The following is a 14,113-nucleotide window of genomic DNA, read 5'->3' on the forward strand; positions in this document are numbered from 1 at the left end:
GAGCACATGCTGTTGGAAAAATGGCACTGGTGGACTTGCTGGATGCAGAGTTGCCGCAGACTTTCCATTTGCAAAACAAAAACACAATGTCAGTTGTGCACGGTGGCTCATGCCTGTAATCCCAGCACTTTGGGAGGCCGAGGCAGGCAGATTGTGTGAGTCCGGGAGTTTGAGACCGGCCTGGGCAACATGGCAAAACACTGTCTCTACAAAAAATAAAAAAAAATCAGCCAAGCGTGGTGGTGCACACCTGCAGTCCCAGCTACTTGGGAGGCTGAGGTGGGAGGATTTCCGGAGCCTGGTAGGTGGAGGTTACAGTGAGCCAAGATCATGCCACTGCACGCCAGCCTGGGAGACAGAGCAAGACCTCATCTCAAAAAAACAAACAAACAAAAAAACCCACAATGTCTGTGAAGTGCAATAAAGCAAAGCACAATAATAAAAGATATGCCTGTGCACACATTATGGGAGTTCCAGAATAGAGAGAGAAAGAGGTGAAGGCCTATTTGAAGAAATCATGGCTGAAAACTTCCCAAATTTGAGCAAAAGAATGGACATAAGAGTTCAAGAAATTCAACTAGAATAAATCCAAAGAGACCCATTATCATCAAACTGTCAGAAGTCAAAGACAAAATAAGAATCTTGAAAACAGCAAGAGAAAAGCAACTCATCAGTGCAAGGGAGCTCCCATAAGATTATAAGTGGGTTTCTGAGCAGAAACTTTGTAGGCCAGAAGGGAGTAGAATGATATATTCAAAGTGCTATCAGAGTAAAAACAGTCAGCCAAGAACACTATATCCAGCAAAATTATCCTTCAAAAATCATCCCAAATAAACAAAAGCTGAGAGAATTCAACACCACGAGATATTTCCTACAAGAAATGCTAAAAGGAGTTCTTCGAGTTGAAATAAAAGGACACTAGACAGCAATCCCAAACTACATGAAAATATGAAACTCTCTAGAAAAGGTAAATATATAGACAAATGTAGAATCCTGTACTATCATAATGTTAGTATATAAATCACTTTTAATTCTTGTATAGAATTTAAAAGATGAAAACATTTAAAAATAATCATAGAACTCTGTTAATGGTTACACAATATAAAAGAGATAATTTGCGACGTCAATAGCCAAGTGTAGGGGAGTGAAGGTGTAAAAGAGTACAGTTTTTGAGTGCAATTGAGGTTAAACTGCTATCAGTTTAAAATGGATCATTATAACTTTAAGATATTTTATGTAATCCCAAGGTGAATATAAAGAAAATATTTATAGAAGACATACAAAAGGAAATAAGAAATCAAAGCATGTCACTATAATTTTTTTTTTTTTTTGAGACAGAGTCTTGCTCTGTCACCCAGGCTGGAGCGCAGTGGTGCAATCTCGGCTCACTGCAACCTCTGCTTCCCAGGTTCAAGTGATTCTCCTGCCTCAGCCTCCTGAGTAGCTGGGATTACAGGTGTGCACCACCATGCCCGGCTAATTTTTGTATTTTTAGTAGAGATGGGTTTTCACCATGTTGGTCAGGCTGGTCTCAAACTCCTGACCTCGTGATCTGCCTGCCTCAGCCTCCCAAAGTGCTGGGATTACAGGTGTGAGCCACCACACCTGGCCTATAAAAAATTTTGAAAGTACAAAGGAAAGGAGTAAGGAGGAAAAATGGAGACAAAATAGCCATAAAACATACAGTAAACAATTAACAAATTGGCAGTAGTAAGTCTTCCTTACCAGTAATTTCTTCAAATGTAAATTAATTAAACTCCCTAATCAAAAGACAGATTGAGTTGATTAAAAATGAAAAGAAAAAAAAAAAGAAGATCCAACTATATGCTGTCTACAAGAAATAAACAGGAACACAACAATGGTAAGAGACCTCAATACTCGCCTTTCAACAATGGATAGAAGAAACAGATAGAAGACCAGTAAGGAAGCAAAGGACTTGAACAGCACTATAGACCAATTGGACCTAACGGACGTATATAGAACACTCTACACAACAACAGCAGAATATATAATACATTCTTCCCAAGGGCACGTGGAATATCTTCCAAGAGAGACCATATGATCGGCCACGAAACAAGTCTTAACAAATGTAAGAGTTTGAAATTATAGAAAATATATGTTCTGATCACAAAGGAATGAAACTAGAAATCAACAGCAGAAGGAAAACGGGAAACTTCACAATTAGTGAATATTTAAAAACAGACTCTTAAGAAACCAAAGGATCAAGGAAGATACCACAGGGAAAAATAGAGAATATCTCAAGACAAATGAAAACAAAAACGCAACATACCAAAACTTATAGGATGCAATGAGAGCAGTATTAAGAGGGAAATTCATAGAGGTGAAAACTTACATTTAAAAAGAAGATGGATCTCAAATAAACAACCTAACTTTACATCTCAAGGAACTAGAAAAAGAAGAACAAGTTAAACATGAATTAGCAGAAAGAAGGAAATGGTAATGATTAGAACAGAGATAAACACAATAATAGAAAACAATAGAAAAATCAACAAACTGAAGAGCTGGATTTTTGAAAAGATCAACAAAATTAACAGAAACTCTTAGCTAGATTAGCTAAGAAAAAAAGAGGGAAGACTCAATTAAATCAGAAATGAAAGAGGCCCCTTACAACTGATGCCACATAAATAAAAAATATTGTAAGAGAATGTCATGAACAATGGCTATATACCAACAAATTGGGTAATCTGGAAGAAATTGAAAAATTCCTAGAAATATACAACCTACCAAGATTGAATCATGAACAAATAATTATCTGAAAAGACCTATAACTAGTAAAAGATTGAATTAGTCATCAAAAATCTCCCAAAAAAGAAAAGCCCAGGACCAGATGGCTTTACCGGAGAATTCTACCAAGGATTTAAATAATTAACAGCAATCCTCCTCACATTCTTCTGAAAAGCTAAACAAGAGGAACACTTCCAACCTCAATGTATAAGGCCAGCATTATCCTGATACCAAGCCCAGACAAGAAAGCTACAGGAAAAGAAAACTACAGACCGATTTTCCCGATAACTGCTGATGCCAAATCCCCAACAAAATACTAGCAAACTGTATTCCGTAGCACATTAAAGGATTATACTCCCTGACCAAGTGGGATTTACTCCTGGAATGGAAGGATGGCTCAAAATATGAACATCAATCAAGATAATCTGCCACACTGTCATAATGAAGGACAAAAACTACACGACTGTCTCAATTGATAGAGAAAAAGGACTTGAGAAAATCCAACACCCTGTTATGAGAAAAACTGTAACTCTGCATGGTTGCGTCCTGTTTGCACCCTGAAGTTCTCCAGACCTACTTTCCCAAAGGACCCAACAGATTCAAGCCTCATCTGCAGGAGAATCGAGTCTCTTCCATCTCCGCGGGCCTGGGCAGGTCTGTTTCCTCTCTGGGTCTGCCATTCCCTTCTGACCAGGGATAGAGATCAGCCTGGAAAGCTGTAAGCTGCACCTGCCTGAGGAACCTAGGTGTGCCCTTTCCCTGTGACCCTTCCCTGAGGGTGTTCCAAAGGCACATGGCAAGGCTGCTTCACCCCAGTCATTCACGGGACCCTGGGCCCTAGGAAGCCAGCTCCAGGCCTCTCCCTAGCATCACTGATCCAACAGGCTTGAACACACACCCTCCTTAACTTCCCTCCTTTCTCTGCATTGGAAACTAGGGGAGAGTTATTTGCCTAATTATGCACGTTGTTTAGTGCCTTTGAGCATCAACATTTAGTGTTATGCTCCTGAGAGGCCAAGTGCTTTACAGCATTTTCTTCAGTATTATATTCCATGTTAATTGCAAGCAGGCCTATTAAAGGCAGGGCTGACTTCACAAACAGCCAGCAAAAGCACAGAGGGGCCGCACTTGCAGGCAGCAGGCCTCAGGCTCATTAAGGAGACCCAGAAAGCTGAGGACTCCTTGCCCTTGAAAGGCCCTGTGTACAGCCAGCATGCCGGAAAGAGCCTCGGAGCTCCGTGGATTTCAAGGCAAAAGGGAGCCAAACATGCACGGATGCCTCTTTCCTGTGCCTGGGGGTTTGTTTCTTCAGGAAATTCCAAATGGGTCTCATTCCCTGGAATTTCAATTGCACCATTGCTTAGTCACTCAACAGTCATCTGTCACTCACCAAAGCCACAGAGTGGGGCCTGAGGGTCACTGGTGTCATGGATACACTTGCTGATTTGTGACCCAAGTCAGGTCTGGATTACAAAGGGCTTTGAATGAATGACTGAGGTTTTGAGGCCAGATGATAGAGAAAGGCAGCCATGGGGGATTTTGGAGAGAGGCCAGGGTGAGCGGTGGGAAGACCAGGCAGGAGAGTCCAAGGGCATCCGTGGAAGCGCACCTGGGGTGGAGAGGACTCGTGGTCCAGATGAGGCACCACTGAGCCGCGTTGGGAGAAGCCTGCAGATGGGAGGTCACTTGGCTGTGAGCAGATCCACGCCTGGGAGGTGGCAGAAGCCAGATGGGATACCATAAAAATCCACATTTAATTTTTCCACTGGTGTGTGCGCTTCTGGAACTCCCCACACAGCAGCCCACACAGCAGCTTAGGAGTGGGTCCATATTCCGACTACTTCATCTCTGGTGTAATCATGACACTCTCTGGCTACCCCAGGAGGGCATGCACCAACATGGCGCTGGGCATAAATTTGAGACTGAGCTGCCTTAGGTTCGAGTCCAGCTCTGAGCCAGCCAGCTGTCCTCAGCAGTGCTCTGGACCCCTCTGCCCTTCAGTTCCTCATTTATAAGGTGGGAGTAATGGAAGCATATCTGAAGCGTGAAGCCGGGGCCTTGTCTGCTCTGAGCTCCCTCAGGATGTTCCAGGCATGTAATGGGGAGAGCAGAGGCTGAGACCTGAGAGCCAATCACATGTTTCCCATCAAGAAGTTTCGACACAGATTCTAAGTCTGAGGAAAAAGGCAAGACTACGGTTCAGCAACAAACTGGGGACTTCAATAACACACTTTCGTTATGAGTAGAACAAGTAGGCAAAAGATCAACAAAGAAATGTCAGATTGGATCAGTTGGCCGGCATCTGCAGAGCATGAGAGCACGCCACCAGCAACCACAGAGCACGCCACCCCGCAACCGCAGAGCACTCCACCCAGCAACCGCATCCGCAGAGCACTCCACCCAGCAACCGCAGAGCACTCCACCCAGCAACTGCATCCGCAGAGCACTCCACCCAGCAACCACAGAGCAGTCCACCCAGCAACCGCATCTGCAGAGCACTCCACCCAGCAACCGCAGAGCACTCCACCCAGCAACCGCATCTGCAGAGCACTCCACCCAGCAACCGCAGAGCACTCCACCCAGCAACCACAGAGCAGTCCATCCAGCAACCGCATCTGCAGAGCACTCCACCCAGCAACCGCAGAGCACTCCACCCAGCAACCGCAGAGCACTCCACCCAGCAACCGCATCCGCAGAGCACTCCACCCAGCAACCGCATCCGCAGAGCACTCCACCCAGCAACCGCATCCGCAGAGCACTCCACCCAGCAACCGCATCCGCAGAGCACTCCACCCAGCAACCGCAGAGCACTCCACCCAGCAACCGCAGAGCACTCCACCCAGCAACCGCATCCGCAGAGCACTCCACCCAGCAACCGCATCCGCAGAGCACTCCACCCAGCAACCGCATCCGCAGAGCACTCCACCCAGCAACCGCATCCGCAGAGCACTCCACCCAGCAACCGCATCCGCAGAGCACTCCACCCAGCAACCGCATCCGCAGAGCACTCCACCCAGCAACCGCATCCGCAGAGCACTCCACCCAGCAACCGCATCCGCAGAGCACTCCACCCAGCAACCGCATCCGCAGAGCACTCCACCCAGCAACCGCATCCGCAGAGCACTCCACCCAGCAACCGCATCCGCAGAGCACTCCACCCAGCAACCGCATCCGCAGAGCACTCCACCCAGCAACCGCATCCGCAGAGCACTCCACCCAGCAACCGCATCCGCAGAGCACTCCACCCAGCAACCGCATCCGCAGAGCACTCCACCCAGCAACCGCATCCGCAGAGCACTCCACCCAGCAACCGCATCCGCAGAGCACTCCACCCAGCAACCGCATCCGCAGAGCACTCCACCCAGCAACCGCATCCGCAGAGCACTCCACCCAGCAACCGCATCCGCAGAGCACTCCACCCAGCAACCGCATCCGCAGAGCACTCCACCCAGCAACCGCATCCGCAGAGCACTCCACCCAGCAACCGCAGAGCACTCCACCCAGCAACCGCATCTGCAGAACACTCCACCCAGCAACCACATCCGCAGAGCACTCCACCCAGCAACCGCAGAGCACACACACTTCTCAAGTGTGCTGGAGCTTGCTCCAGGAAGAACCACATGTTGGGCCACAGAGAAAGTCTCAATAAATTTCAAAGGACTGAAATCATACAAAGTGGGCTCCATAACCACAATGGAATTAAGTTAGAAATCAATAACAGAAGGAAATTTGAGAAATTCACCAAAATGTGTAAAATAAACAACACACTGTTATATAACCAACAGATCAAAGAAGAAATCACAACGGAAATTAGAAAATACTTTGAGATGAAAGGCATTACAAGAAAACCACAGACCAATATCCTTAAGAATATAAATGCAAAAATCCTCCACAAAATACTAGCAAATCAAATCCAGCAACATATAAAAAGAATTATGTGCAAAACCAGATGAGATTTATCCCAGGAACACAAGGTTGATTTGATATCCAAAAGCCAATCAATGTAATACAGCATATTAATGGATTCATACAAAACCACTCTTAGAAGAAAACATAGGAGGAAATCCTTATGGCCTGAGTTTGGCAATGATTTCTTCAATATGGCACCAAAAGCACAAGTGATAAAAGAAAAGAGAGATAAATGACACTTCACTAAAATTAAAAACTTCTGTGCTACAACCAATGCCATTAAGAAAGTGCAAAGATAACCCACATAAAAGGAGAAAATATTAGGAAATCTTCTAGAGTAATCCCCTCTTATCTGCAGGCAATACATCTCAAGGCCCCCAGTAGATGGCTGAGACCACAGAGATTACCAAACACTGTATATACTGTTTTTTCCCATATATGTATACCTGTGATAAAGTTTAATTTATAAATTAGGCACAGGAAGAGATTATCAAGGATAACTATAATAAAATTGAACAATGATAAAAATATGCCGTAATAAGACTTATGTGAATGTGACCTCTCTATCGCTCTCTCTCTCAATACCTTAATGTACTGTACTCACCCCTCTAAATACCTTATTGTACTGTTCTCACCCCTCTTTGTTGTCATCATGTGAGATGACGGAATTGCCTCCGGGAGGAGGTGAGGTGAGGTGAGGTGAATCACGCAGGCATTGTGACATTGTCTTAGGATGCTGTTGACCTTCCGATGAATGATCGGAAGGAGGATCACCAAGCCATGATGAGCAATGGCTGGATGTCAGGAGCAGACAGTGTAACGACTAAGGAAGGAGCAGTCTATACAGTGTGGATACAGTGGACAAAGGGATGGTTCACAGCTGGGAGGGATAGCTTGGGCTGGAGCAAGGTCTCACTGTGCTACTCAGAACAATGCACAGTTCCATGTCGTATTTTCAAGCCATGGCTGACCACAGGTAACTGAAACTGTGGAAACCAGGACACCAGGTAAATGGGACCTGCTGTATCTGATAAGGGACTCATATCCAGAATATGTAAGGAACACTTAAAACTCAAATAAAATAAGGGTTATTAACCCCATTTTAAAATGGGCAAAGGATTTGAATAGGCACTTCTCAAAAGAAGATGTACGAATGGCCAGTAAGTGCAAGAAAAGATGCTCAACATCATTAGTTATTAGGAAGAAGCAAATCAAGACCACAGGGCGATGCTACCTCATACACTAGGAGGGTGATCCTCAAAAAGACAGAAAATAGTCTTGACAAGGACTTAAGAAACAGGAACCTTCTTTGGGAAAGAAAATAGTGCAGACAAAAACAATGAAAAGGCGCTGAAAATGAGTTCAACATAGAGTGACCACATGGCCCAGCAATCCCCCCCTAGGTGTGCGTCCCAGATAATTAAAACCATACATCCAGCCAGGCTAAGGGGCTCATGCCTGTAATCCCAGCACTTTTGGAGGCCGAGGCAGGCAGATCACGAGGTCAGGAGTTCGAGACCAGCCTGACCAACATGAAGAAACCCCATCTCTACTAAAAATACTAAATTATCTGGGCGTGATGGCACATGCCTGCAGTCCCAGCTACTCGGGAGGCTGAGGCAGAAGAATCGCTTGAACCCAGGAGGCAGGGGTTGCAGTGAGCCGAAATCGCACCACTGCATTCCAGCCTGGGCGACAGAGCGAGACTGTCTCAAAACAAACAAACAAACAACAAAAAAGTACATCCAAATAAAAACTTGAACACAAACGTTTGTAGCAGCACCACTCATAAAGCCAAACAATGGAAACAGCCCCGATACACGTGACTGGCGAATGGCTACAGAAGATGTGGTGTATCCGTACAACAGGATGTTATTTGGCCATGAAAAAGAATGAAGTACTTATAAAAAAAAAGAAAAAGAAAAAAGAAATGAAGTGCTGACACAGGCTACAAGGTGGATGAGCCTGAAAACATTATGCGAAGTGAAAGAAGCCAGTCGCAAAAGACCACGCACTATATGTTTACATTTTGAGAAACGTGCAGAACCCATAGATACAGAAAGAGGATTTGTGGTTCTTTAGGGCTGGGGGTGGGGGCAGGGCTGGTGGCTGAGAGTAGCTAAAGGGTGTGGAGTTTCTTTTTGAGGTGGTGAAAATTTTCTAAAATTGACTGTAGTAATGGCTGTAGAACTCTGTGAATATACTGAAAACCATTGTACACTTTAAATGGGTGAATTGCATGGTATGTGAATTATAACCCAGTAAAGCTGTTTAAAAAATAGTGGGGGGCGGGTGGAGGGAATGAAGAGAAGGTGGTTAATGGGTACGAATAAACGGTTTGGTAGGAGGGGTGAGTTCTAGTGTTGATAACACAGTGAGGGGATTATAGTTAACAACAACATACTGTATATTTTGAAATAGCGAGAAGAAAAGATTTGAAATGTTCCCAACATGAAGAAAGGATAGACGTTCGAGGTGATGAACGTCCTAAATACCCCAATTCCATCATTACACATGGCATGCGCGTATCCAAATATCTCATGCACCCCATAAATATGTAAAATGTTATGCATCAATAAACAATTAAAGGTATAAGCGTTGCAGAGTGTCTTCCTTCCAAATAATACAGTATGAAAAGGGAAAAAGAGCAACTTTACAGTGGAGAAAACTGGAAACCTCTGCCTCAGCCACATCGCCGAGGTTGACATCACCGGTGACAAGTCACGCAGACAGCAAGGACGTTGGTGTGATGCTGTGGGAAGGTCACTTTCCATCCTCCCCACAACCCGTGACCCCAAACTAATCACAGGAAAAAGATCAGACAAGTCCCAAATGAGGGACATTCCACAAAATACCCAACCAGTCCTCCTCAAAACTGTCAGGATCACTAAAAATAAGGAAAGTCTGAGAATCTGTCACAGCTGCGAGGGCCCTAAGGAGACATGAGGGCCAACTGTAACATCATACTTTGGATTCTGAGGTAGAAAATGGATATTAAGGGAAAACTGAGGGAATGTGAATAAAGTATGGACTTTAGTTCCTACTACTGTATCGACATGGGCTAATTCACTGTGACAAAGGTACAGTATAATGTGACAGGGTAAGAGTAGGGGAACCTGGGTGTGGAGTATACAGGAACTCTGTGCTATCATCACAATTTTTCTTTATATCTAACAATGTTCTAAAATGAAGTTTATTTTAAAAATAAAAAATAAAGACAGGGGTCCTTGATATCAATAAACCCCATGAAAATACATTCATTAATAATCAGGGAAGCACCTCCCCCAGCACATGTGCATATGACACCCATGCACACACTCAAGCACACGTGCACATGACACCCAGGCACACACTCAACCCAAGCACATGTGCACATGCACACCTGTGCACACACACTCAACCCAAGCATGCATGCATGTGTGCATCTGTGCCCACAGTCAACCCAAACACGTGTGCACCTTACACCCATGACACACCCAACCTGAGCACATGCACACATGCTCAACACAAGCACGTGCACACATGCATACCCATGCACACACAATGCAAGCACATGCACTTCTGTGCACACACATGATGCAAACACATATGCATTGCATGCCCATGCCCATGCAGTCAACCCAAACACGTGTGCACATGCACATACTCAACCTGAGCACATGCACCCATGTACACATGTGCACACACACTCAACCCAAGCACACATGCACATGATACCCATGCACACACACTATGCAAGCACTTCTGCACATATGTGCATGTACACATGCACTCCATCCAAGCACATGTGCACATAGACACCCATGCATGCTCAACTAGAGCACATAAGCAGATACATACATGTGCACACACACACAACCCAGGTATGCATGCACATGCACGTCCATCTGCACACTCAACCCAAGCATGTGCACACACACACACTTGTACACACACACTCAACCCAAGCACATGTGCAGTTGCACGAATGTGCATACACAACCCAAGCACACACTCAACCCAAGCACAGCTCACCAGGGACAGAGGCCCAGGAACAGACTCTGACAAAACAATGAAGAGAATCCAAAAAGCAATTACACTGCCAAGTATTACGCAAACACAATTATTGGAATTGCTAGTCAAAAACGGTTAATAGAATAATTAAGATAGATTGACCTAAAAGCTGATTTTAAATTAACCTGACATGTGCATATACTATCTAAATAATACTCTTTCCTCTGATTTAGTCTCTCATTAAAATCAGATTTCATTGGGAGAAATTATACATTTGCACCATCATTGGGAAGAAGAAGCCATGTTCACTCACCCACTGATGAAAATAGGAGATTATTAGAGGAAGTAAAATGGGAATATATTTTCCTGGCCTTCCCTGGCACAGTGTGATCTGTCCCTGTAATAAACCACCGCTTCCTCCTAGCCTGCCACTCGGGAGGTGAGGGAAGCCAGTTAAGATGGCCTCAACTAAGGACCCCAAACCACTAGTGTCTGTGTGTGTCTGTGAAGCTCGCTCACGGGGGAAGGGCCCGTGGGGTGGGCAAGAGCAAGGAAGAGAAATGAGCACTTGGAGACGCCAGGCAACCAGGAAGACCCAGAGGAAACTCGGTACGTCTGCATTGAACACGTCTTCATGGGTGAGAAAACTGCAGCCAAGGAAGGAGAGGGATTGTTTCCAGGCAAACAGCAAGCGCTGGCAGAGAGGCAGGGACAGAGGCTGTTTTCGGCATCCAGCATCTCTGTTCAGCTCATGATTCCCTGCCACACCCCAGATAAAATGAACCCCTGTGGGGGTTTGTCTGTGCACGCGTCCAGGGCCTATCCTGGTCTGTGTGAACAGACTGGCCCTGCATCCCAGCACAGAAGCCTGGGCTGAGCACCAAAGGCCCCCAACTGCGGGAGGCAGGTCCTGGTCACTGCTCCCTCCACGGCCATGGCTCCAGTGTGCAGATCTCAGCTAGTGTCTAAAACACGAAGGCACTGGGTCACTACAGCTATGGGCCTCCTTGTTCATTGAAACCCTTGGAGTTACCTCGTTAACACTTTTTAAATGGATAGCCACTTCACATTTTTTAAGATAAAGAATTTCCCCATTAAAATTATTGAGATTCAGTAATAACACATTATTAGGATAAGCAGGACATGTAAGATGCTACAAAATGATCTATTACTTGGAGGATTTTAAAACCCTAATGAGAAAAACGCTCACTACCATTTATTCGTTCTCTTAGCCTTCAGCACCATTAGTCTGAGGAGCAGCATAGGGCTGGGGCTGGCTGCATCCACACTCACCCCTCTGATTGCTCCAGAACCTTTTCTTCAAAGAGAAATCTCTGCACTCTGCAGGGACGGTAAGTGGCGACCCTTAGGTAGCTGAAAGCACGGGGAAAAGAGCAGGAAGAGGTGGGAACATGGAGATGGAGAACACAGGGAGCGGCACGCTCAACGCAGGTGGAGTCTGTGTCCCCTCCAGCGATAGCCAGAACCAGGACCACCAGGGATCCGACATCACTGGCCCCATCCCGTAGGGTGGGCTGTGGGCAGGGAACAGCTGAATCGCCAGGCCACTCTCAGACCCTTGGCAGACACAAGGAATAACAGCTGTGGCCGCCGCTGTGGCCGCAGTCCCAAAGTTTGGAGAGAAATAGCAGCAAGTAGCAGCACCACTGTCCGTCAGCTTGAGTGCTTCTCGGACAAAGGAAGACAGTTCTCCTGTTTCCCAAAGACTTGCAAAGGCTGTGTGTTCCTCAGGCAGCTACTGCGCCATCGGCCTCTGAGTGATAAGGAAAGGAACCAGGGCTCAAACCTACTCCTGAGTGAGTCAAAGCAACTCCGCACTCCCTGCCAGCACTGAGGGTGACCCCCGAGCCCTGCTCAGGAGCTGTGGGGCCCGAGATCTCCCCTCCGCCCCGTGGGCAGGGGAAGGGCAGCAAAGGCTCTCTGCCACGCCTGTGTTCGGGCTCCAGAACTCTTGGCCTGGTGTCTGGAAGATGGGATTGCTGCCTTGGACAAGCCTCTCCTCCTTGCTTTTCCCTTTTTCTCACAGTGGGGTTTAAGCTAAGGTCCTATTCCTAGATCACTAATAATGATAGCAGGTGCCATTTATGAACACCTACTGTATCCCAGTGCTGCTCTCAGTGCTGTACCTGTATTCTCTCATCTCATTCTCTCAAGGGCCCAGTAAGGTAGCCACTTCATTAGCCATCTTTTACTAAAGAGCAGACTAGGCACAGAGACGGTAGGTCACTTTCTGAAGGTCACACAGCGAATGCAGGTGAGAACCAGGCTGTCCACGAAGGAAGTCTGACCCCTGATTGGGCTGTAATCACTGTGCTGTGCAGACACCCTCTCCATCAAGACCCTTCTGTGTTGCACCCCCCACCCCCACCCCCTTCTCTGCTTGGAAATGAAGTAGCTTTCAGGGGACTCTTATGAGGCTCCCGCCTCCCCAGGCTGGCCCCACACAGCCCCAAGACAGGAGCCCCCAGTGGCGCCTTGGTGGGCTTCTTGAGGGTTGCCTTAATCTTCCCCAGCCACCCACGGGAGACACCTGAGGTTTGTGGCTTGTGCCACGCGGCTCCAGGGCCTCCAGCACCCACCTGCAGACACGGCTTCAGCCGGCCCATGCTCCTTCTGTTTCTTTCGCTAGCTTGTTTAGGTTTCATTCACAAACAGTAAAGCCCATTCATGTGACAGTTGTATACAGTCATGTAACATCTACCACAGTCAAGATGTGGAACATTTCATTCTCCTAAAAAGTGTTCTCCTGCCCCTTTAGATTCCCTCCTCCAGCTCCCAGCCCCAGGCAGACAGTGATCTGATTCCTGTCCCTGTAACTTTGCCTTTCCTGGAAGCTCATAGACATGGAACAGTACTCTATCTCTTCCACTTAACTTGATGATTTCAAGACTTATCCATGTCGTGTAGGCTTAATATTTTGTTCATTTTTTATTAATGGGTAGTATCTCATAATATGCATGCACCGTAGGTTACCAACTTGCCTGTTGATGGGCATTTGGGCTGTTTGCAGTTTGGATGTATTACAAATAACATTGGTGTGAGCACTTGTGTCCACGTCTTTGTGTGGACATATGTTTTCATTTTCCTGGGGTAAATATTTAGGATTGGAATTGCTGGGTCATGTGGTAAGTGAATGTTTTACCTCTTAGATAGTGTCAGTCCATTTTCCAAAGTATTTCCATTTAAAATTCCAACCAAATTTCATGCATTCCAATTTAAATTGTATGTAAATTCCCATTGTTCTATATCCTTGTCAACACTTAGTATTGTCAATCTTTTTAACTTTAGACTGCTTTTAATGTGTACTCCTCTGATGGCAAGTGACGTTGATCATTTTTTCATGTGCCTATGGGTCATATATCTTTTTTGTCATGTATTTGTCCAAGTCCTTTTCAATTTTTAACTGCAGTTTTCAAATTATTGATTTATAAGATATCTTCATATA

General features: G+C 45.9%; 1 annotated feature.

Moving 5' to 3' along the window:
• Window positions 10,830-11,546: an enhancer, noted in NCBI's record as "H3K27ac-H3K4me1 hESC enhancer chr7:108674-109390 (GRCh37/hg19 assembly coordinates)". NCBI's record gives its function as "activates a minimal SCP1, AML or CMV promoter by ChIP-STARR-seq in naive and primed H9 embryonic stem cells {active_cell/tissue: H9 hESC(naive and primed)}" and the evidence as "EXISTENCE:reporter gene assay evidence [ECO:0000049][PMID:30033119]".

Source organism: Homo sapiens, chromosome 7 (assembly GCF_000001405.40).
Source record: "Homo sapiens chromosome 7, GRCh38.p14 Primary Assembly".
NCBI classification, from domain to species: Eukaryota; Metazoa; Chordata; class Mammalia; order Primates; family Hominidae; genus Homo; species Homo sapiens.